General features: G+C 40.4%; 2 long non-coding RNA genes across 5 annotated transcripts in view; one reads left to right on the top strand and one right to left on the bottom strand.

Moving 5' to 3' along the window:
• Positions 1–22,200, bottom strand: part of LINC01010 (long intergenic non-protein coding RNA 1010) — a 66,305-nt gene that overhangs the window by 22,788 nt on the left and 21,317 nt on the right. For 2 of the 4 annotated variants that reach the window (NR_038217.1, NR_038218.1), the window contains exon 2: positions 16,384–16,492. This is a non-coding gene — a long non-coding RNA (long intergenic non-protein coding RNA 1010). Of the gene's footprint in view, positions 1–10,206; positions 10,325–16,174; positions 16,493–22,200 lie in introns of all 4 variants that reach the window. The other 2 variants (NR_038219.1, NR_038216.1) reach the window with 2 other exon arrangements.
• CT69 (cancer/testis associated transcript 69) overlaps positions 2,336–22,200 on the top strand; it is a 49,868-nt gene continuing 30,003 nt past the window's right edge. The window contains exons 1-2 of the long non-coding RNA NR_125852.1: positions 2,336–3,030; positions 6,008–6,117. This is a non-coding gene — a long non-coding RNA (cancer/testis associated transcript 69). The remainder of the gene's footprint in view (positions 3,031–6,007; positions 6,118–22,200) is intronic.

Here is a 22,200-nt window from a genome sequence, read left to right as displayed (position 1 = left end):
TGTTGCTTCTTCCTCAAACTTCATCTCCTGACTTCACAGGTAGGCTTATCACTCCCAGCTTGAATTGCTTATGGACATTGTTTCCCGTTGCTTCTATTCTGTTGTTTTACTTGTCTATCCCAGTGCTCTTTTCCTATTGCAGAAGTTTGTCTAGTGGGCACCTTTACTAACCTCCTTCTTAAAAATGATGTTGGAATACAGAAGTTAACATGAAATAATTTCCACATAATTGTATAACTATAAGGAGTAGAACTCAGGAATCAGAGGAGCTATATACAGATAGACAGGGAATTTCTTTTTTTAAAGGTACACTAATTGTAATACGATCTTTTTTTAATTCAGGAGTACTTAGAATAGATTTCAGCAAATTTGGATCTTTGAGAACAATACTCCTCAAGTTACTAGGTCTTCTGTGTGGTGAGTCAGCCCAGGGGTGACATCCTGCACTGTGTAATTGCTGGCATGGCTTTGGGAACCATTGCCAGGCTGGTTAACTTAGTTTAGGTATTAAGAAGATATGAATTCTAGTTTGACTTGTGCCAAAGCATACAGAAAAGAATAAAAGAAGGTGTTTTTTAAATTTATTTTTGTTTTATTTTATTTTTTACAGAGCCTTGCTTTGTCACCCAGGCTGCTGGAGTACAGTGGCACTATCTCTGCTCACTGCAACCTCCGGCTCCTGGGTTCAAGCGATTCTCCTGTATCAACCTCCTGAGTAGCTGAGATTATAAGCGTGCATCAGCATACCTGGCTAATTTTTGTATTTTTAGTAGAGACAGGGTTTCACCATGTTGGCCAGGCTGGTCTCGAACTCCTGGCCTCAAGTGATCCGCCTGCCTCAGCCTCCCAAATTGCTGGGATTACAGGCGTGAGCCACTATGCCCGGCTGGAAGGAGCTCTTTACTGTCACATCGGTTGCAATTTTTGTGTGGGTTTAGAGCATTTCTAGATTTTCTATGAAATTTGGAAAGTTATTTTTACTTTCTTTAAAATGGTAGAGATGTCTAATGAAGTGAATCTAAAGAAATAGAGAAAAGGACCGTTTGCACAATATAACTATAAAAATTCCAATTTGAAGAAACCAAAAGATCATCTACTACAACAATTTGTAAAATGTTGGCATCCCTTCAGTAGTATCCTTGTTAGAGATTGCTTTATCATATAGCGGGGAAATATACAGCTGTAGGAACCAAATAGACCAGGGTTTAAATATCAGTCCCATCACTTCCTGGCTATTTTAGCTAAGTCAAATTGCTTAATTTCTACTAGCCTCAGTTTTCTTATCAACGAAATGGTGCATAAAAGCTACCCTGTATGTGGCTGGTAAAAATTAAATGAGATTTTATATATATATAAAGCACTTAGCACTATGCCTATGTATACTATAAAAAATGTCATACACACCGGGCACAGTGGTCATGCCTGTAATCCTACCTACTACTTTGGGAGGCTGAGGCAGGAGGATCACTTGAGGCCAGGAGTTCAAGGCCAGCCTGGGCAATATGGTAAGACCCTGTCTCTACAAAAAATTTAAAATTTAGCCAGGCATGGTGGCCCCTGCCTATGGTGTCAGCTGCTCAGGCGGCTGTGGCAAGAGGATCGCTTGAGCTCGGAGGTTGAGGCTGCAATGAGCTGTGATTGCACCACTGCACTCCAGCCTGGGTGACAAAGTGAGACCCTGTCTCAAAAAAAAAAAAAAAAAAACAAATCATACAAAGCACTTAATAAAACTTAAAAGCAAAACCATACAAAACTCTCTGTTCTGTGAGCTTTTTAACTTGCCTACCTACTTTGAAGTGTTGTCATTAGGGATAGAATTATATATTTAAAGCACCTATCACATGGTAGAGACTCATTAAGTTAGAAGGGCCATTATTATTTCTTTCAGATGATCATTCTACATCATTCATTCATTCACCAAATATTTAGGTGGAATTGACTGTGTGCCAGTGGTTTGAGGGAACTCAATGAGTGAGACACTTGTGTTCCTTGTTCAAGTCTGGAGGTGATTGGCTTGAGGTGGTTTGAGTGTGACAGGCAGAGAGAAGCAGAAGTTTGGGGCTAAGTGACAGGTAGGTGTTGGTGCCATTGACTAATCTAGGGCAGGTTGGAGGAAAATAAGACTTTGGGGCAGAAGAGGATGAAGAAGAAATCAAGGGTTCTATTTTTCCTGTGTTAAGTTCAAGATGCTCATGAAACATTCAAGTGGAAGGTCATGGAGGTAGTTGAATATATAAGGCAAGAGAGATTTGACTGGAGAAAACAATGGTTTCATTATGACATATACATGGCATTTAAAGCAACAGAGCTTGATGAGGTGCTGAAGAAAAAGTGTGTAAAAGAGAAGAGAGGTCCAAACTGAAATCTGAGGAGCCTCAACATTCAGAACTCAACTGGGCGCTGTGGCTCAAGCCTGTAATCCCAGCACTTTGGGAGGACGAGGCAGGCAGAACACCTGAGGTGAGAAGTTTGAGACCAGCCTGGCCAACATGGCCAAACCTTGTCTCTACTGAAAATATAAAAATTAGCCAGGCATGGTGGCGAGCGCCTGTAATCCCACCTACTCTGGAGGCTGAGGCAGAAGAATCTCTTGAACCTGGAAGGCGGAGGTTGCAGTGAGCCGAGATCACACCACTGCCCTCCAGCCTGGGCGACAGAACAAGACTCCGTGTCAGAAAAAAAAAAAGAAAAGAAAAGAAAAAGAAAAAGAAAAGAACTCGGTGGAGCACAAGTAGCTGAGTAATGCCCCAGAAGCCGGCATCATTGTTGGACAGCTCAGATGTTCAGGATGTTTCATTTTGAGCCTACCTCATTGGAATTTCAAAATATTGGCCTCTTTGGAGCAATACAGAGCAAGTCTGTTCCTTCAAGTAGATGAAAAGCTCCCTGCATGTCTTCCATTGGACTTCTCCCCTTTAGCTTAAAAATATCCACAGTCCTGAAACATGGCTCAGAAGCAGATATTACCCAAACCCTACTCTTAAAGCTCGGCCAGCCAGCCACATGCAGGACCCTGAAGCAAATAAGAGGGTAAGTACAAGGAAAACAGATGAATCACTTTGAAAACCCACTGCTGTTGTCTGAATGAAGCATGACTGTGGCTACAACAAACAGCAGTTGTATAAAGCAAGGTCTTTCAGAGAAAACCGTAAGACAAAGAGAGCACATTCTACAGTCAGTTGTGCTTCAAGCAGTATCTTTAAAATTATGGAGTAGGAAGGCATGTGCTAGTGATGTCAAAGCAACTGCAAACCAGCAGGACTTCAACTAGAATTTAGTCAGATGTTCATGTTTCCTCCTGGAGTTCATTATTCCAGATAATTCATTTGTCTTTGCTCAATTTTTGTTTTTTGTTTTTGTTTTTGTTTTAAAAGACAGGGTCTCAGGCCAGGCGTGATGGCTCATGGCTGTAATACCAGCACTTTGGGAGGCTGAGGCAGGCAGGTCATTTGAGGTAGGGAGTTTCAGACCAGCCCAGCCAACATGGTGAAACCCCATTTCTACTAAAAATACAAAAATTAGCCGGGCGTGGTGGTGAGCACCTGTAATCCCAGCTATTCAGGAGGCTGAGGCAGGAGAATCGCTTGAATCCAGGAGGTGGAGGTTGCAGTGCGCCAAGATCGCACCACTGCACTCCAGCCTGGGTGACAGAGTGAGATTCCGTCTCAAAAAAACAAAAAAAAGACAGGGTCTCACTTTGTCACCCAGGCTGGAGTGCAGTGGCTTTTTTTTTGTTTTTAGACGGAGTTTCGCTCTTGTCACTCAGGCTGGAGTGCAATGGCACGAACTTGGCTCACTGCAACCTCTGACTCTCGGGTTCAAACAATTCTCCTGCCTCAGCCTCCCAAGTAGCTGGGATTACAGATGCCCACCAGCTTATTAAGCACACACAGCTTATTTTTGTAGGGATGGAGTTTAATCATTTTGGCCAGGCTGGTCTCGAATTCCTGACCTCAGGTGATCCATCTGCCTCGGCCTCCTAAAGTGCTGGGATTACAGGCATGAGCCACTGCTCCCAGCCTAGTGCAGTGGCTTGATCATAGCTCACTGATGCCTCGACCTCCTAGGCTCAAGCAGTCCTCCCACCTCAGTCTCCTAAGTAGCTGGGACTCAAGGTGCATGCCACCACGTCCAGCTCAGTTTGGTTTTGATTTCCATTTCACAACTCTGATATAGTGCGTTTGTTACTCAGCTATGTAACTTTATATTTGAATATCCATTAATTGACTTTGACATCACCCCAAGCTTTGCCCTCCACTCTTAATTTAGGATCCAATATTTACCTACTACTTTAGTTCTTACCTAGGTTTTGGTCCTGCTGTATCCTGACATATCTAGGGAAAGCCACATGCAAAAACGAATACTGCAGGTAAACACTCCAGCCATTATCCAAAGGTCATATTTTACAGATGTGCTCTGTGTGGAACTGGAAATTGATCTGCATTCATTTTTCAGACACCTCTGCATATATAACAGTGTTGGTACCTAGTAATTTCCCGAGCAAGAGACAGCTGATAATCAAAGTGTTTGGACTGCTCCTGCCTGACAGAACTGTGAGATATGGTCTCCACATCTAGGTACTAAGTATCTGACCAGATAGATTGTTGAGGTAGTTCTACTCAGGGTACTATGATGCAGGTCTGGAATTTACTTCTCTTTGTGATGTTAACCATCACCCAACCATGGGACCACTGGTGTGAGTCTTTCCACCTTTCTAAGGTTCACTCCCTCATTAGCATCTCATCCTAAGGACACCTTCTACCTCCTTGTCCTCTAAGCAATGCTTTTCAAACCCTACAGACCAGTGCCTGCATCAGAATAATGAGGAAGGGCTTTTGGAATACTATGCAGCCATGTCCCTCTGCAGGGACATGGATGAAGCTGGAAACCGTCATTCTCAGCAAACTAACATAAGAACAGAAAACCAAACACCACATGTCCTCACTCATAAGTGGGAGTTGAACAATGAGAATACATGGACACGGGGTAGGGGCATCACACACTGAAGCCTGTCGGCGGGTTGGGGGCTGGGGGAGGGAAGACATTAGGAGAAATAACTAATGTAGATGACAGGGTTGATGGCTGCAGCAAACCACCATGGCACGTGCATACCTATGTAACAAACCTGCACGTTCTGCACATGTACCCCAGAACTTAAAGACTTAAAGTATATATATATATATATACACATATATATATACATATATATGTATATATACATCTATACATATATATGTATATATATACATATAGTATATATAGTATATATATACACATATAGTATATATATAGTATATATATACACATATAGTATATATATAGTATATATATACACATATAGTATATATATAGTATATATATATACATATAGTATATATATAGTATATATATATACATATAGTATATATATAGTATATATATATACATATAGTATATATATGATATGAATATTATATTCTTCAGGAGATTTTGATTCAATAGGCCTCAGATGAGGCTAAAACCCTACCTTTTCTAATGTTCCTTGTATGATTCTGATGAGTAACCAGGTTGGGAATCACACTTACAGAAAGTCCAAGTCAGGAACAGGAGGTTATGACTTCCTGGGCCACTTCTTCTCTCTGGTCTCACTCTATCTGGTTAGCTTCATCCAGTAAGCCCTTTGGTCAGTTTGTTCCCATTCTGACCATTATGATTCCTCATAATGGTTCTGTTCTAATTCTCCTGACTTAATGGACTCATTGGTCATTCCAGATGCTCTGATCCTAATAATCCTTTTGATACTCTGTTCTAATTTACTAAGAAGAGTCACCAATTTTGTTTCTGTGGTTTGGTATGAAATAAGGTGGCAGAAACAGCACTCTCCAAATATCCATGCACTCCTGACATTTTTCAGCAGCCCACATTACTAATTCTGGCTGAGGGATTGGGAGCAGAAGAGACACGTGTCATCTCTGAGTTGAGGCTGTTAAGAGCTGGTGCAACTTTCCATTCTTCTCTTCCCCTCTAGCAGTGACCTGAGAAGCTACGTATTGACACGGCGCTACCACGGGTGGAGGAGCCTGCATTGCTGAATCACAGGATGAAGGCGAATCCCTGCCAGCCTCCATCCATCTCTGGGTGAGCAATAAATAAACTGCTTGCTGAGCTACAGAAATTTCAGGGTTGATTTGTTACCACAGCATGGCCTACCCTGTCCAGGACTAAACAAAACTGATTTCTTGGTAAAATGCTGCCAAGATAACGAAGCCGACCCATCACGACCCAATTTCCTAATTTCTTCTTCTCTTTCCTTTCCAAATAGCACATAGCGGACACCCATTGGAAACCGCAAAGACAAAATAATGCTAGTTACAAGGGATGAAACAGCTCATTAGTGAAAGAAAAAGTAGCTCCACTTAAACTGTGATTGACCTTCCAGGAAAGTCATTTTCAATCATATTTAAATCCTTTAACATTTCCCGCCTCTTGTTCATTCTATACCAAAGGTGGCAGACTCTTATGTGAGGGTAAAATGCATGGAGTAAGCAGTTCTAAAACAATGGGTAATGTGGGGCTTTGCACTTAAGAACAGAGCAAATAGAAAAGGGCTTGGCCATCTGAAGATATTCAAATCAGTAAAAGTAATAGCTCTGGCTAATTAAGAGACTGCAGCCCCAATCAGCCTGCCACCAGAAGCTATGAACTGAAGCTAGACATACCACTGGAACTCCATCAGGTCTAAAAATCATTTTTGAATTTTCGTATATACATGTCAAAATACTGTGCAGCCATTCAAAAATATGAAGCATGCTGGATGCAGTAGCTCATGCCTATAATCCCAACACTTGGAGAAGCTGAGGCAGGAGGATTTCTTTTCTTTTCTTTGTTTTTTTTTTGAGATGGAGTCTCACTCCATTGCCTAGGCTGGAGTGCAGTGGCACCATCTCAGCTCACTGCAGCCTCCACCTCCCCAGTTCAAGCGATTCTCCTACCTCAGGCTCCCAAGTAGCTGGGATTATAGGTGCGTGCCACCACACCCAGTTAATTTTTGTATTTTTAGTAGAGACGGGGTGTCACCATGTTGGCCAGGCTGGTCTCGAACTCCTTGCCTTAGGTGATCCACCCACCTCGGCCTCCTAGAGTGCTGGGATTACAGGCTTGAGCCACCACGTCCGGCCTGCCTTCCTGCTTAATACCCACAGAATGAGCACTCTCCAGAGGAGTCAACAATGCCTGTTTGGTAGGGAGTATTTCTTTAGCCCAAGAGTTCAAGAACGGCCCTGGCAACATAGTGAAACTCCATCTCTATAAAAAATTTAAAAAGTTAGCTGGGCATGGTGATGCACGCTTTTAGTCTTAGCTACTTAGGTGGCTGAGGTGGCAGGATCTTTTGAGCCTGGGAGGTTGGGGGCAGTAAGCCATGATCTCAACATTTCACTCCAGCCTAGGCAATAGAGTGTGACCCTGTCTCCAAAATAAATAAATAATAAGTAATAAATAAAAATATGACATAGAAGAATAGTAACTGGGAAGAAAAATTATTTACAATATATTTGTAAGTAATATATTGTATTTGTAAGTACAATATATTACTTACAAATAAATACAATGTTACTTACTTGTAAATTAACTTGTAAATTACTCATAAATTGTAAAGTAAATACAATATTACTTACAAATAAATACAAATAAATACAATGTATGTATTTGTAAGTACAATGCAAAAAAATACAATATATTTATGTGTTTTTAAAATTAAAAAACAATTATAATATCTAATTTATTAAAATAAAATGTGTAGAAAAAAGACTAGAAGTAGGGTTCATGTACCTAATTAACGGTTGATATCTGTAGGTTGCAGGCTTTTCCCACTCTCCTAAAATAAACATGTATTGTTTTGTAGTCATCAGGAAAGAAATGTTATCTTAAAAATTCGTATCTTGGAATAAAGGGCAAATATATCACTATGTTAACTACAAAAATTACTGATTTTTAAATTCTAACTATATAATGTGTACTGTGATATCTTGTGTGTTTGGTGTGCTTTAAATCAATGGTTGTACTAAATTACACAGAAACTAACCTCCAACTGCCACTCATCTACAAGTTCTAGTTAAGTTGAAACATATATCTATTACCCTTTATATATTTCAGAAGAAAATTTTGCTCATTTTAGTGATCATCATAATTATATGGCAAAAGAGAACAAACCACATCTTAAAAACATAACAGCACAGGGGCAAGTGGTAACAGACAGTGGAAAACATCCTGTAATTACAGCTGCCAAAAGAATGCAAATAATTAAGAAAACTTTTTGTTCTCCAAGTTTTTGTTCCACTGTTTATTCTTTGGAATGACTTGGTATTTGGTGAGTTCCCAACAGGCTTGAGACTGGTTCATTAAGCTCTAATCTGATTAGGACTTTTTGTTTCTTTGTTCTCTGTGTCCTCAGGTGGCAATTTTGGCAGAACATCATAAATTTTTGCCCTGCATCTAGGTACAGTAACATAACTTTGCCTATGTATTACATAATAAGAATACAATTCTCGGGCATCAATCCTAAAAAGGCAACTCTAGTTAATCAAGTCTACTTCTGTCCAAATAATCTTCAACATATGGATTTTACTTGTAATACACATGTGTATCACTGCACTAGATACACATTTATGTATGGCTAGCCAGGCATATATATTTTCCCAGAGCAATTCCCAGATGAACATTTTACTTTTTAAAAATGTTTTAAAAAACTTTTTGAAAAGTTTTCCTAAATCTTATTTCTCTAAATAAAGGTTGACTTAATGTATTTGAATCAGGTGGCAAGACGGGTGAAAAACATGGCAAGGAAGGTTATTTGTCAGAAAAAGAAACTGCAATATAAGACCAGTTGGATAAGAAGAATTACAAGACCATCAGGAGAAGGCTTTAAATTAAATATGAAATACAGCTAGGGCCCAGTAAAGTCTTCAATATTGAAGAGCTAGTATGAGTCACCTTGCTATGCCAGGGGGCAGAAAGATTGTTGGGGGGAAATGGCCACTAGACGCTATCTACAGTCACTGCCGGATTATCCTGGAGGCACAGATAAATAAATAAATACACATCAGAAAATTTTCACTTCAATAAATTCACCCAGACTTTTATAACCAATAAATCATCTAGAAAGAAAAGCCATTCTGCTACCAGCATACTTATGAACTTTATGTTAGTTCAAAAAATAAAATGGTATTTGTATTTATGTATGGAGGAGCTCAGGGACTCTAAAAGTCTTATTCTGGTCCTGGCAACAATTCAGGTGAATAGGGAATGAAAATGAAGATCCATGTCAGGGCAGGTCCTGGATGAGATTTCAGAAAGTTTTGGACTAGACAAAGGTCCTAATAGAGGTGGGTGGGCTTAAGGTTCTGGGCAGCTCTGGAATGGTGGCTGTGTGCACTCTAGCAGGGTAGAAGTAGTGGTCTTCATACGCTTTCCTGACAGCATGCCATCATCTGGATATGCAGTCCTCAGCTCTTGGAGCAGCAGGTGGTTTAGGGGAGACCTATGCTTCCTGCAGGAGGCATTTGAATGGCAATCAGTTTTGTAACATGTGCATTGTTTAAGGTGTTTCATTCCTCACACATGAGTATGGAAAAAGAGTAGTCTAGAAACTGTACTGAGTATAGAAAATGTATGGAGAGTATAGTAAATGTATTAAGTATAGAAAATGTATTGAGTATAGAAAATGTATTCAGAGTATAGAAAATGTACTGAGTATAGAAAATATATTGAGAGTATAGAAATGTATTAATTAGAGTATAGAAAATGTATTTAGTAGAGTATAGAAAATGTAATGAGTATAGAGTATAGAAAATGTATTGAGTAGAGTATAGAAAATGTATTGAGTACAGAAAATGTATTGAGAGTATAGAAAATGTATGGAGTAGAGTACAGAAAATGTATTGAGTAGAGTATAGAAAATGTATTGAGTAGAGTCTAGAAACATATTGAGTATAGAAAATATATTGAGTAGAGCATAGAAAATGTATTGAGTATAGAAAATGTATTGAGTAGAGTACAGAAAATGTATGCCAAGGCCAGTCTCAGTGGTTTTTGCTTGTAATCCCAGCACTTTGGGAGGCCAAGGTGGGAGCCTTACTTGAGGCCTGGAGTTTGAGACCAGCCTGGGTAACATAGTGAGGCTCTGTCTCTAAAACATTTTTAAAATTAGCAGTGCATGGTGGCGTGCACCTGTAGTCCCAGCTACTCAGGAGGCTGAGGCAGGAGGATTGCTTGAGCCCAGGAGTTCGAGGCTGCAGTGAGCCATGATCATACCACTTTACTCCAACCTGGGTGACAGAGTGAGACCCTGTGAAAGAAAGAAAGAAAAAGAAGGAAGGAAGGAATGAAGGAAGGAGAGGGGAGGGGAAGGGAGGGAAGGAAGGGAGGGAAGAGAGAGAGAGAGAAAGAAAGAAAGACAGGGAGAAAGAAAGGGAGAGAGAAAGAATGGGAAAGAGAAGAGAAAGAGGGAGGAAGAGAGAGAGAGAAGAAGGAAGGAAGGAGAGAAAGAAAGCAAGAAAGCAAGCAAGAAAGAAAGAAGGAAAATGTCAGACTTGTTGTCAACCTATGAGTGACAGGCAGCATCATACAACAAAAATAGACATGATGACAGAATCTCAAATTTGATCTAAAGCAGATCGTCTCAAGTTCTGTAACGGCATCAAAATGAACTGTCCTCAATTGAAAAGAGCCAGTACATCCTATTTTAAAATCTACAGAAATGCACCTGTGTTTCCCATCACTGTACCAGGACTCCAGTTTCCAAGTTTGCAATGCAGTGAGAAAAAAAAAAACGCCCTAAAATCCTTCTCTATCTTAAGCTTCAAACTACTGCAGACTTGAAGCGAAGATAAAAGAAAGGCTTCTAACCTCCATTTTTTTACTTTTTGGTGCTTAACAGGCAATCCTAACATTAACAGGTTTAGTTCCATGAAACACCTTCTGGGCCAAAAGATAAGACTTCCTTCCCCCATAAATCACATTTTCTCAAATATTTTTCAAAGCTGAGGTGTAAGCCTTTTAATAGAATTATGCAAATTTTGCCCCAACTCTAAATGTTTTAGGAACTAAATAACCACTTTGAAGAATCACAGTTTTGCAGTGTCCACATTGGAAAATAAATGCTAGAAACTGCAGGCAATGAAAGGGACGGCGGTGGCGCCCCAAAAGTGGGAATTTGTCCTTAACGTTATTTTGCACAAACCTAAAGCAACCTCTGCTACTGAAAGGTCAGTTTTGACTCTCTGGGATGAAAATGCTGACCAGTCGTTAGGGGATTATCTGCTTGGCAGAGTAGAAGAAGTCCAGATCAAATGCATCTCATTCCTGATTTGAACTGGCTGAAGGACTAAAAACATCTCAGGCACAAGTCAGGGCAATGAACAGTGAGGCTAGAGACTTGTATAACTCCTAAAACTGAGATGCCAAAGGACATCTGAAAAAGGGCTATGGTTCATTGTGAAGAAATACGATATTTCCTAGTTGGTTTTTTTTTTTTAAATAATGGAAGTCATTTTCTTTTAAATGGTACTTAGAAAAAGATTATTATGAACAATATCTTCCAGTCCGACACATGCTTAGCACTGCAGACTGGGTAAGACACCCTGTTTAATGGAAGATTAGTATTGTCATATACATAAGCTAGAACATGGAAAAGCACACAAACTGTTCTGATTCTGCAACTCTTGGGCCTTCTGCATGTGGGTAAAGAAAAGCAGTTATGTGGAACTTCCAGAAGCACTGTCTTATCACTAAGGGCACTCTTTAGGACTAAACGGCTAATAAAAAAACAGTGATTTTTTTTTTTTTGGACTTAGGTAAGGTAGAAACAAGAAAACGTTTTCTTGTTGCGAACTCATAGACCCTGCGGCACGGCTTTAAAACAGTTAGGAGTGTCCCTGCTCCCTCTGTGGGCTGGTTCTTTTCTCAGCTGTTCCCTTTTCTGGGAGAATGGTCTCTTCTCCCTAAAAACAGTGCTTGAAGGTGGCATGTGTGGCAAAGCAGGCTCGGGACAAAGGAAGAGCACAAAAGAAGGAGTGCGGCATATGGGAACCTTTGCCAAGTTATTATTTTTATTCCAGTTTAGCTTTTTAAGGGTCGCTAGCTAAGGCTGACATTTATTGCCATCATGCTATTTCCTAAGAATAAGGCCTCAGCTGAAAATCTGACCCCAATCAACTTTCAAAAATGCACTGATATATTTTAAAACACACACAATAATGACAAAACCCCCAAATTGCAGCCTGTCCTCTCTCTTTGTATGATGCCTATCTGCCTTGGCACTGTCCAGACTGTATGCCCTTAGAAGCAGCTCCTTGCCTGCAGCTGTGAGGTGTCTTGTTTGCCATCGACCACCTGTGCTATGTGCACACTCAGCTGGCATTTCTGCCAAGAAGCTAAAGTCAGGAACACCAGCAATTTCAAATATGTAATCAGGTTTCAAATTAAAGTCCTTGTGCTTCTGGTATATGGGAGTGTTCCCAGAAAGAGTGGGGGTTCTGCTGTCACTCTTCTAGCTGCTGTGTAATTTTTTTTTTTTGCAAGGCACTTGGTATGTATCTGGCTTTAAAACTGACATTGCCAGGCATCAGAAGTTGAGAAGTTTCGTCCTTGATTTATTTGTTCTCGTTTGTGTTCAATTATGATTAGAAGTCACCTCTACACAGCTGCTCTACAATTTGTACTGCATTTGCTTCTGGGATTTCTAACCGCACTGTTCAGTGGAATAACATTAACAATATGAAAATGAAGTCCGTTTTTATAGTGCAGTGGATAGTGTTTTATTAAAAATGGCTAACAGCTGTAATTTGTAGGTAGTTAACTCATGTGAAGTTTAACTTTAGCATGTATTTTTCCCTAGGAAAATATTTTATATAAACAGAAAGACAAATGTGAAAAAGTAAATCAAACCCAAAACACACCTACCAAAGTAATTCTGATCACAATAGCGACATCTCTGCTGCTGCTATGTTTCTGGAAAAAAAAAAGGGGGCTCCCCACTTTAGTCTGGAATGATAGTAAGTAATAAAAAGAAAATATATAGCTGTCGATGTTTTTGTTTTCTTTTCTTTTCCCCACAATAACAAGGACTTCATAGACACAGATAAGCTACATGTTCTTTTCCAAAAATTTCCTGCAACAGAGTTTTCTGACAGGGTCATATTACAATTCTAAATGTGAATAACACAGCAAAAAGAAAAAAAAAGGGTATTTTTTGGCTGGTACTCATGGGTATTAGTTTGCACTCTTGCAAGCTAACTGAATATCCACAGACCTTGTGTAGAGTCCAGAGGATGGCTTTGATGCTCTTTCTGCTACAGGCTGGTTTGGGTGCCTGAGTTAGAAGTGTTAAAAGGGCACAGAAAACAGATCTCCTGATTGGCTTCTTTTTCTGAGCACCATTACCTAGGGCACAATTGTGAAAGAAGATATCAGGAATGATAAGAAGACAGGATCATACCTCAGGGAAAAAAGAGACCAGTCATAACTACAGATGGTGCCTCTAATGTAAAGGTGGCTACAAATGTGTGTGAAGAAGTGGATAGTATTCTCGTTTTGCAGTGCCTAGAGTTTAAAATTTAGTATAGTAGGGTCTATGGATATTCCATTAGCTTTCAAGAGTACAAACTAATACCCATGTGTACCAGCCAAAAAAAATCCTTTTTTTTTTTTTTTTGCTTTTTGCTGTGTTATTCATATTTAGAATTGCAATCTAATCCCTTCTGAAAACTCTGTTGCAGTAAACTGTTTTCCATTATTCTTATCATCTTCTAACATGCCATTTGATATGTTAGAAATATTAAATGTTAGCCTGTTCTTTATTTCCTGCACACTCTTCCTCCCCAACCAGAATGTAAGTGCCGGGGAAGCTTTGTTTGCTTTATTTACTCCTCTGGCCCTAACCCTAGATCAGTGCCAGGCACATAGTTGTCTGTTGACTTAGTAATGAGTAATCCATTTTAGTCCTGTGTTTCTATGAAGCTGATTGATAATAAGCTTATAGCTTCTGAAATTATATTATATTATTCTATATTTATTGAACACCAAAGGCAAAATCTCTATCTTTTTATTTCAAGGTACAGTGCAGACTGCTAACACTTGGAGAATTTTAATGTTATTACTTGAAGTGAGTTGAGGCTCCTAATTGGAGAATGACTGGTTGGTTATCAATTTAACTGCTTGTGAGATTGTTAGTTTTTTGAGTAGAGGTCAGGAATAACACTGCAAGAGAATATGTTTTCCAAACTCCTCCTATAAATGCACCATCCAATTAAAGAAAGCTGAGATAACATTACTTCAAGGCACTTTCAAAAAAATGATGTCAAATTTTGCACACAAGTGGAGTGCTGCTTTTATTTCACATACGTGCTCATATCTGTTTTTAATAGAATGTTGATAGAGAAATCTTGTTACTGCTGGAAAGAAATGAAGAACAAATGTTCTCTTACAACTTGCAAATTTCAACCAGTAAGTTCTGGGTTTCTTGGACTAGTGAGCATAAGTATCAGCTAGTGTGTTTTCTAAAAAAAGGTTTGTTTCTGGGCCCATATTCTGGGAGCTTCTGATTCAGTAGGTAAAAGCAGGGTGCAGCAATCAGAAATGTTTATAATTATGCCATGGGATTTGGATGCAGGTGGTCTGCAGACTTCACTTTGAGAATAATAAAAAATAAGAACCCTGATTTGTGAAAGGTCCTATAGGATCTTGGTTTCCTCTTGAGCGCAACTGTTACTAAATTATAATTCAGGTACCCAGCTGCCAGGTGAATGGCTTTATGTTTTGATTATAAGAAAAGTCAAATGGCCAAGAAACTCTTAGAACACGCTTTACAGTTCTAAAAATGTTTATCTTTTCTATTCTTTAATTGACTGAGGCTTCTGTTTAGGTTAATGCCACAAATGTTGATGCCACAAGAGTGAAGTACAGAAAGAAAGTTCATAAAAATATTTATTTGGCATCTGGCAAACTATAAAATATTTTCTCACATGTTACCTAATTTGATTCTCATGGTAGCTCTGTCGGGGAGTCAGGGCAGGTATGTGTTAATTTTGCCTATGAGCAAACAGAGGTCTGAAGAGGTTCTAACTTGCCCAATACCAGATAGTAGAAATAAACAGCAGAGAAGCCACTCCTCCTGGGACTGCTCATGCCTAGGTTATGCAGTGTTGGTTCAACTACCTTTCATGGTCCCCTAATATATCCAAATATATTCCTTAATGTCTTTCTCTCCTGACTCTTTCATCTCTAGAGACATTGCATAGGGAACATTTAACACTGTGCTCAGGAGGAAAAGGAGGAGGGTTGGATGCTATTGTGTGTTCAGGATTAAATGAGATAATATATGTGAAAGTCTTTGTAGTTATAAAATATTATACATATACAAGCATATATTATTATTGCATTGTATATTGCATATTAGATTATTGCTTATCCTTTTCAGAGCATGACTGCATCATATAGGAAACTCTTGGCCAGGCACAGTGGCTCATGCCTGTAATCCCAGCACTTTGGGAGGCCAAGGTGGGCGGATTACTTGAGGCCGGGAGTTCAAAACCGTGTCTCTACTAAAAATAGAAAAATTAGCTGGGTGTGTTGGCACACGCCTGTAATCTCAGCTATTCGGGAGGCTGAGGCACGAGAATCGCTTGAACTGGGGACATGGAGGTTGCAGTGAGCCAAGATTGCACCACTGCACTGCAGCATGGGTGACAGAGCAAGACTCTGTCTCAAAACATAATAATAACAATAAGAGAAATTCTTGAAACTTAGAGTTTCTGAGAAAAAGAGTTACCAACAATAAATTTAATAATACATTTTTAAAAATTGAGGAAGGAATACATGCAGAAATAAATAATAATTTAAAAGATAATGAGAAACTAATTAGAATAAGCTGAAACATGATTGAAGTTCGGTTGTGGGAGGAGATAAATGACTCATACTGAAAACTACCTAAAATAGCACATACAAAAGCGTTTATAAGCTTAGAATTTCTTATTTTATTTTCTCAGAATATTTCTGGTAGTTAAATTTGAGGCTTCCTGCGATGTGGGCATCTCAGAGGAACCATATAGATTGGCGCTTGTACTACAAAATATCCTAAGTTGACTGGGTTTAAATGTGGTTTTTTAAATTTACTTTTATTGTCATTTTCCCCACTTACCCTGACTTGAAGCTCATGAAAGTAGTTTTTATATCCTGAAGTCAAGGAGGCATTGTTCAGCCGCATCATTTGCCTACTTCTCATAGCTTGAAAGGGGAATAAAAGGCAGATTGCCTCACCACCTTGCTATTTTAGTCTCCTGATGTCTTGTGGTCTCGGCACCTCTCCCTGCTTGTAATTCCATATTGCTAGTTGTAATCAAATCCTACCTTGGAAAGGTCAGACTTGAGCAGGAAGAGTGCAGTCATTCCAACAGCTGTCGCTCTGGGCTCTCCCGCTGTGTCACAGTGTGAGGCGTGTGCACCACTGCACTCCAGCCTGGGTAACAGAGGGAGACTCCATGTGAAAAATAAATAAATAAATAGAATAAAATAAATGAAATAAAATTTCTTTGGAATGGCTACTTTCTCGTCTTCTTGAGCTTCATGAGGGGCTTAAAAGCAAAGATTATTTTTCTGTGACATTTAATGGCAAATACAGATAGAAAGAAATACGTTTAGGATGTTCCAGGGGTTCGAAAAACATGTTCATCCAGGCCCACTAATTTGGTCTTTTTCTTCTTATTATTCTTATTCTCACTCTTCTTTTGTTTTGGACACGGGGTATGACTCTGTCACCCAGGCTGGAGTGCAGTGGAGTCATCACAGCTCACTGCTGCCGTGGCCTCCTGGGTTCAAGGGATCCTCCCACCACAGCCTCCCAAGTAGCTGCAACTACAGGTACACGTCCCCACACCTGGCTAATTTTTGATTTTGTCTTTGGGTAGAGATGGGGTTTTGCCATGCTGTCCAGCATGGTCTCAAACTCCTGGACTCAAGCAATCAACCTGCCTTGCTCAGCCTCATACAGTGCTGGGATTAAAGGTGTGAGCTACCATGCCCAGCCTAATCTGGTCTTTAAAACCAGAAAGTTATCAAAATATTTCAAATTCCTTATGGACGCAGAACTTCAAGCTGAAACATCCTTTCTAGGCTCTCGTTTACACTCCATTTTACTTCCATATTTGAATAATGTTTTTTTTTTTCTTCCTTTTTTTTTTTTTTACCCTTTTTGTGTCACAGTATAAATAATCTTTAGAAGGATAAGCCTCTGCTGACAATAGAGCTCTATTTACTAAGTATCTACTATATACCACACCCTGGAGCAGGACCACCAACATTATCTCATTTGGAATTCTTAATCGCTAGAGATGTTGTTTACCATCTTGCAGATAAGGAAATGAAGATCAGAAAAAGTAGGTAATTTGCTTAAAGCTACAGGAATGAGACACAAAAATGTGAAGTCAGGTCTATCTTACTCCAAAGCCTGTGCACCATGTTTGAGTGTAAGCATATGTGTGATTTGTTTTAAAGAGATAATACGCCTCTATTTGTTCCAGCTTCTCTACTTGCTAATTGACCACATGCAAGTCACTCGACATCTTACAAGGTCAGTTTCTTTGACTGGAGAATGGGAATGACAATTCTTTTTTTTTTTTTTTTTTTTTTTTTGTCAGACGGAATCTCTCTCTGTCACCCAGGCTGGAGTACAATGGCGCGATCTTGGCTCACTGCAACCTCTGCCTCCTGGGTTCAAGCAATACTCCTGCCTCAGCCTCCCGAGTAGCTGGGACTACAGGCATGCGCCACCATGCCCGGCTAATTTTTTGTATTTTTAGTAGAAATGGGGTTTCACCATGCTGGCCAGGCTGGTCTCAAACTCCTAACCTCGTGATCCGCCCGCCTCGGCCTCCCAAAGTGCTGGGATTACAGGCGTGAGCCACCGCGCCCGGCAGGAATGACAATTCTTATTCCTTGCACTTTATAGGATTATTGAAGAAGTAAAACGAGAAGACATAAATGGTGGCTTCTAAGAGCACCCAAACACTTTCAAATCACAGGTGTGCATTAGTGAAGGTTAGGTTTGGCTGCCCATGGTAGAAAATCCAAAATGACTGCAGCTTACACAAAAAAGAAATCTACTTCTCTCTCAAGCTGGGCACAGTGGCTCACGCCTATAATCCCAGCACTTTGAGAGGCTGAGGTGGGCACTTGAAGCCAGAAATTCGAGACCAGCCCGGCCAACATGGTGAAACCCCATCTCTTCTAAAAACACAAAAATGTTGCTGGGCATGGTGGGACACGCCTGTAATCCCAGCTACTCAGGAGGCTGAAGCAGGAGAGTAATTTGAACCCTGGGAGGTGGGAGTTGCAGTGAGCTGAGATCATGCCACTGCCCTCCAGCCTGGGCAACAGAGCAAGACTCTGTCTCAAAAAAAAAAAAAAAAAAAAAAAAAAGAAATCTACTTTTCTCTCACATGAAAGATGACCTGAAGAAAGCAGTCCAGGGAAAGTGGGCAGATTCCTACCCATCTGGTCCTGAGAAACCTTCAGTCAGGCCACTGTCTTTGTCCATAGGTCACCTCGTGGTACCAGGTGGCCCCAGTGAAATGGTCTACTGTATTCAGCACATAAAGAGAAAAGTCAAGAGAAGAATGCACTTCCTAGGCTGAAGCGGGTGGATCACTTGAGTTGAGGAGTTTGAGACCAGCCTGGCCAATGTGGCAAAACCCCATCTCTGCTAAAAATACAAAACTTAGCCAGGCATAGTGGCGCACCGCCTGTATTCCCAGCTACTCGGGAGGCCGAGGCAGGAGAACTGCTTGAACCCGGGAGGCAGAGGTTGCAGTGAGCCGAGATCCCACCACTAGACTCCAGGCTGGGTGACAGAGTAAGAACTGTCTAAAAATAAATAAATAAATAAATAAATAAATAAATAAATGAATAAATATTTTTTAAAAAATGCACTTCCTTCCTAGAAATTGTACACAAAATAGTTCAACATTTCCTTTTTTCCCATAATCTTAGGCTACCTACTGAGGCATATAGAGACATGAAAATTATCCTCAGATGAGAGGATTAATAAGGCTTTAAATGCAATGTGTCATTTTTCCTCTATCAGCATAAAGTATGCTTTCAGAGAATTTCTGAAAGAGGATACATGTCAGATATTATCCTCATTTCACAGGTTGTGTAAGTGAAACAGAATGGTCATAGGGCTTGTTTCAAGTCACACAGTTAGTGGATGAAAAACATTACAACGAAGACATTTGATAGTTATATGATAGTTATAGCTCCTACACAATTTTTTTTTCACAAAACAACTATGCAGAAAACATAAAATTAACCCAATCAACAGGAGAAAAATCAAACATCCTGAAAACTGACTTGAATTTGGCTTTGGGTAAACATAATTGAAACCAAGGTTGTTTCCAATAAACTGGAATGCTACAACCCAAAGTCTTGACAAATTGGAGGTAGAGAGAAATAAAAATTCTAGCTATATACTCACTCACCTTGTCTTTCGTTTTCATTTTTATTTTAACAACAACAACAACAAAAAGCTGTGTAGCCTCTGACTATTGACTGTGGTGCAATCCCCAGCTCCTTACCATTAGTGATTGGCACCTGACCAATGAATGGCATGGCAGCAAGCAACCTCATGATTTTGAGATACATGTAGAAGCAACCTCAAATTCGCATAGCCTATATATGGCTATAGCACATTATTTTAAACCTAAAAAGCGCACTATAATATCATAAACATTGTACACAGAATTTAGGCTACATTTTTACATCGAATAAAACATCGTACACAGAAATTAGGCTAAAAACACAAACTCGGGCCAGATGTGGTGTCTCACGTCTGTAATCCCAGCACTTTGGGAGGCCGAGACAGGCAGATCGCTTGAGCCCAGGAGTTCGAGACCAGCCTGGGCAACGTGGCAAAACCCCATCTCTACAAAAAATACAAAAATTAGCTGGGCGTGGTGGTGATGGCCTATAGTCCCAGCTACTTGGGGGGCTGAGGTAGGAAGATCTCTTGAGCCTGGGAAGTTGAGGCTGCAGTAAGCCGTGTTTGCACCATTGCACTCCAGCCTGAGTGACAGAGTGAGATCTTGTCTCAAAAACAAACAAAAACACACAAACTCCAAGAGTATGGCGGATGCCTAGGCTGCATCTCCTAGACAGCCAGAGGTCACCATCACTCCCCTACCTGGAGATGACTTCAAAGCAACTTGAACGCTGTCTGCATAGCTTCCTCCCATGCCTCATCTGGACCTCCTTAACACTGGCTTCCCTAGCTGTGGTCTTAAAAGCCACACAGACCCATCTCTACCTCCACCTCTCCCTTGCCTGTTGTCAGTTTTCTCCTGGCTTTTCTTACCACCTGGTGCTTGCTATACATGTGTTTCTTCCTTTATTGTCTGTTCCCAACTAGAACGTAAGTTCCATGAGGACAGGATGTTGACTTGTTGATTGCTATATCCCAACTTCTTAGAATAGGGCCTGGCATATTTGTAAAATAAATAAAATAATAAATACTGAGAAGTTTAGACATTATGATGGACCACAGAAAATAGTTGGTTTGGGCAGGTGATTCCATAATGTGCCCCTTAAATTGTACCATGGACATCTCTGACTAAGCTTAAGAAAGCCTTCAGTCAGACCTTAGTAAATCTTAAACTTTTCTTTTTTATTAAAATGAAGAACATTGATAAAATCAGTCATTTCCTTCAAGGCTTCTGACTGATTTCCATTAAGGTTGCTGCCTCTACAATATTTCTTTGAGTGACTGGTAATGACCTCCTTATAAACTCTCAGACAATAGAGAATGCTGTATGCATCCATATTCATTTATTCATTCATTTAATTATGCAACAAATATTTTTTGAGTAGTTACTATGAACTAGGCAACATTCTAGACCCTAAGGGTATAGCAGGAATCAGATAGTCCCTGCCTTCATGAAGCTTATATTCTAACAGGGAGAGAGACAGACAATTGGGAAATAAGCAAATTGATATATATTTTGAAGGATAAGAAATGCTATGGATACTGTCACATTGGAGATTGAAAAAAAAAAAGAAAATTTAAAAAAAGAAATGACGTGGAAAAAAACAGAGCAGAGTAAGAGAGCTGCGTGTGGTGACCTGGGGAGATTTAGGGAAAGGCATTTGAAGAAATAAGGCAGTTAGGTACTGCAGAAATGGTGGAGAGTGTGTGTCTTGGAGGGAGGAAGCTCCGGGCACAGGAGATCCAACAAGAAGGCCCTGAGATGGTGGCATGCTGGGGGTGTTCTGAGACTAGCAAAGGGGCAGTGTGTGGGAGCTGCCTGGGAGAAGGTTGTAAACCTGGGGCCAGTGTGTGTGGAGAGCAGTGAGTGCAGAAGGAAGCGGGTGCTTGATAAATTAGAGACAAATAACAAGGGAGCAGCCCTTTTAGGGTCTTGGAGGCCACAGTGGAATTCTTTAATCAGAGTGAGGAGGGTTCTAAGAAAAGGAGCAGCATAATCTGATTTACTTTTTGAAAGATCACTCTAGTACCTGGGTAACAATAGGCTATGGGGGTGACAGCCTCTGGAGAAAGACAAGGCTGGGCACAGTGGCTTATACCTGTAATTCCAACATATTGGGAGGCTGAGGCAGGAGAATTAATTGAGGCCAAGAGTTCAAGACTAGCCTGGGCAACATAGTGAGACCCCATCTCTATTAAAAAGTTTTAAAAATGAGCCGGGTGTGGTGACATGTGCCTGTATTTACTTGGGAAGCTGAGATGGGAAGGATCCCTGAGCCCAGGAGGTCAAGGCTGCAATGAGCCATGATCTCGGCATTGCACTACAGCCTGGGCAACAGAGCAAGACCCTGTCTCTAAAAATAATTAATGCTGCTATTGAGAGAAATGGAGAGAAAGAGGGAAGTCACGGATGGATCCAAGCAACTGGCTTAGGACATAGTTACCATGCACTGAAATGAGGAAATGGGAGGAGTGTGGGGGTTGAGGAAATTGGGGTTTGGGGCACACAGTTATAAAGAGCCAAACTCATTCAACGTTTTTAAGCAGCAAAGGAATGGAGCAGCATTCAGAACTGTTGCAAGAAAGCCAGAGAGCCAGCCTTGGAGGCCATGCACCCAGGAGCACAGCCCAGAAGTCTCCATGGCCGCTTCCCCTGACACTGCACGGCCACTGGGCAGAGGCAGCCAAAGTCT

The sequence above is a fragment of the Homo sapiens genome, chromosome 6 (genome assembly GCF_000001405.40).
Source record: "Homo sapiens chromosome 6, GRCh38.p14 Primary Assembly".
In the NCBI taxonomy this organism is placed as follows: domain Eukaryota; kingdom Metazoa; phylum Chordata; class Mammalia; order Primates; family Hominidae; genus Homo; species Homo sapiens.
Note: the sequence above shows the minus strand (reverse complement) of the source record. Positions and strands in the feature narration are given on the sequence as shown.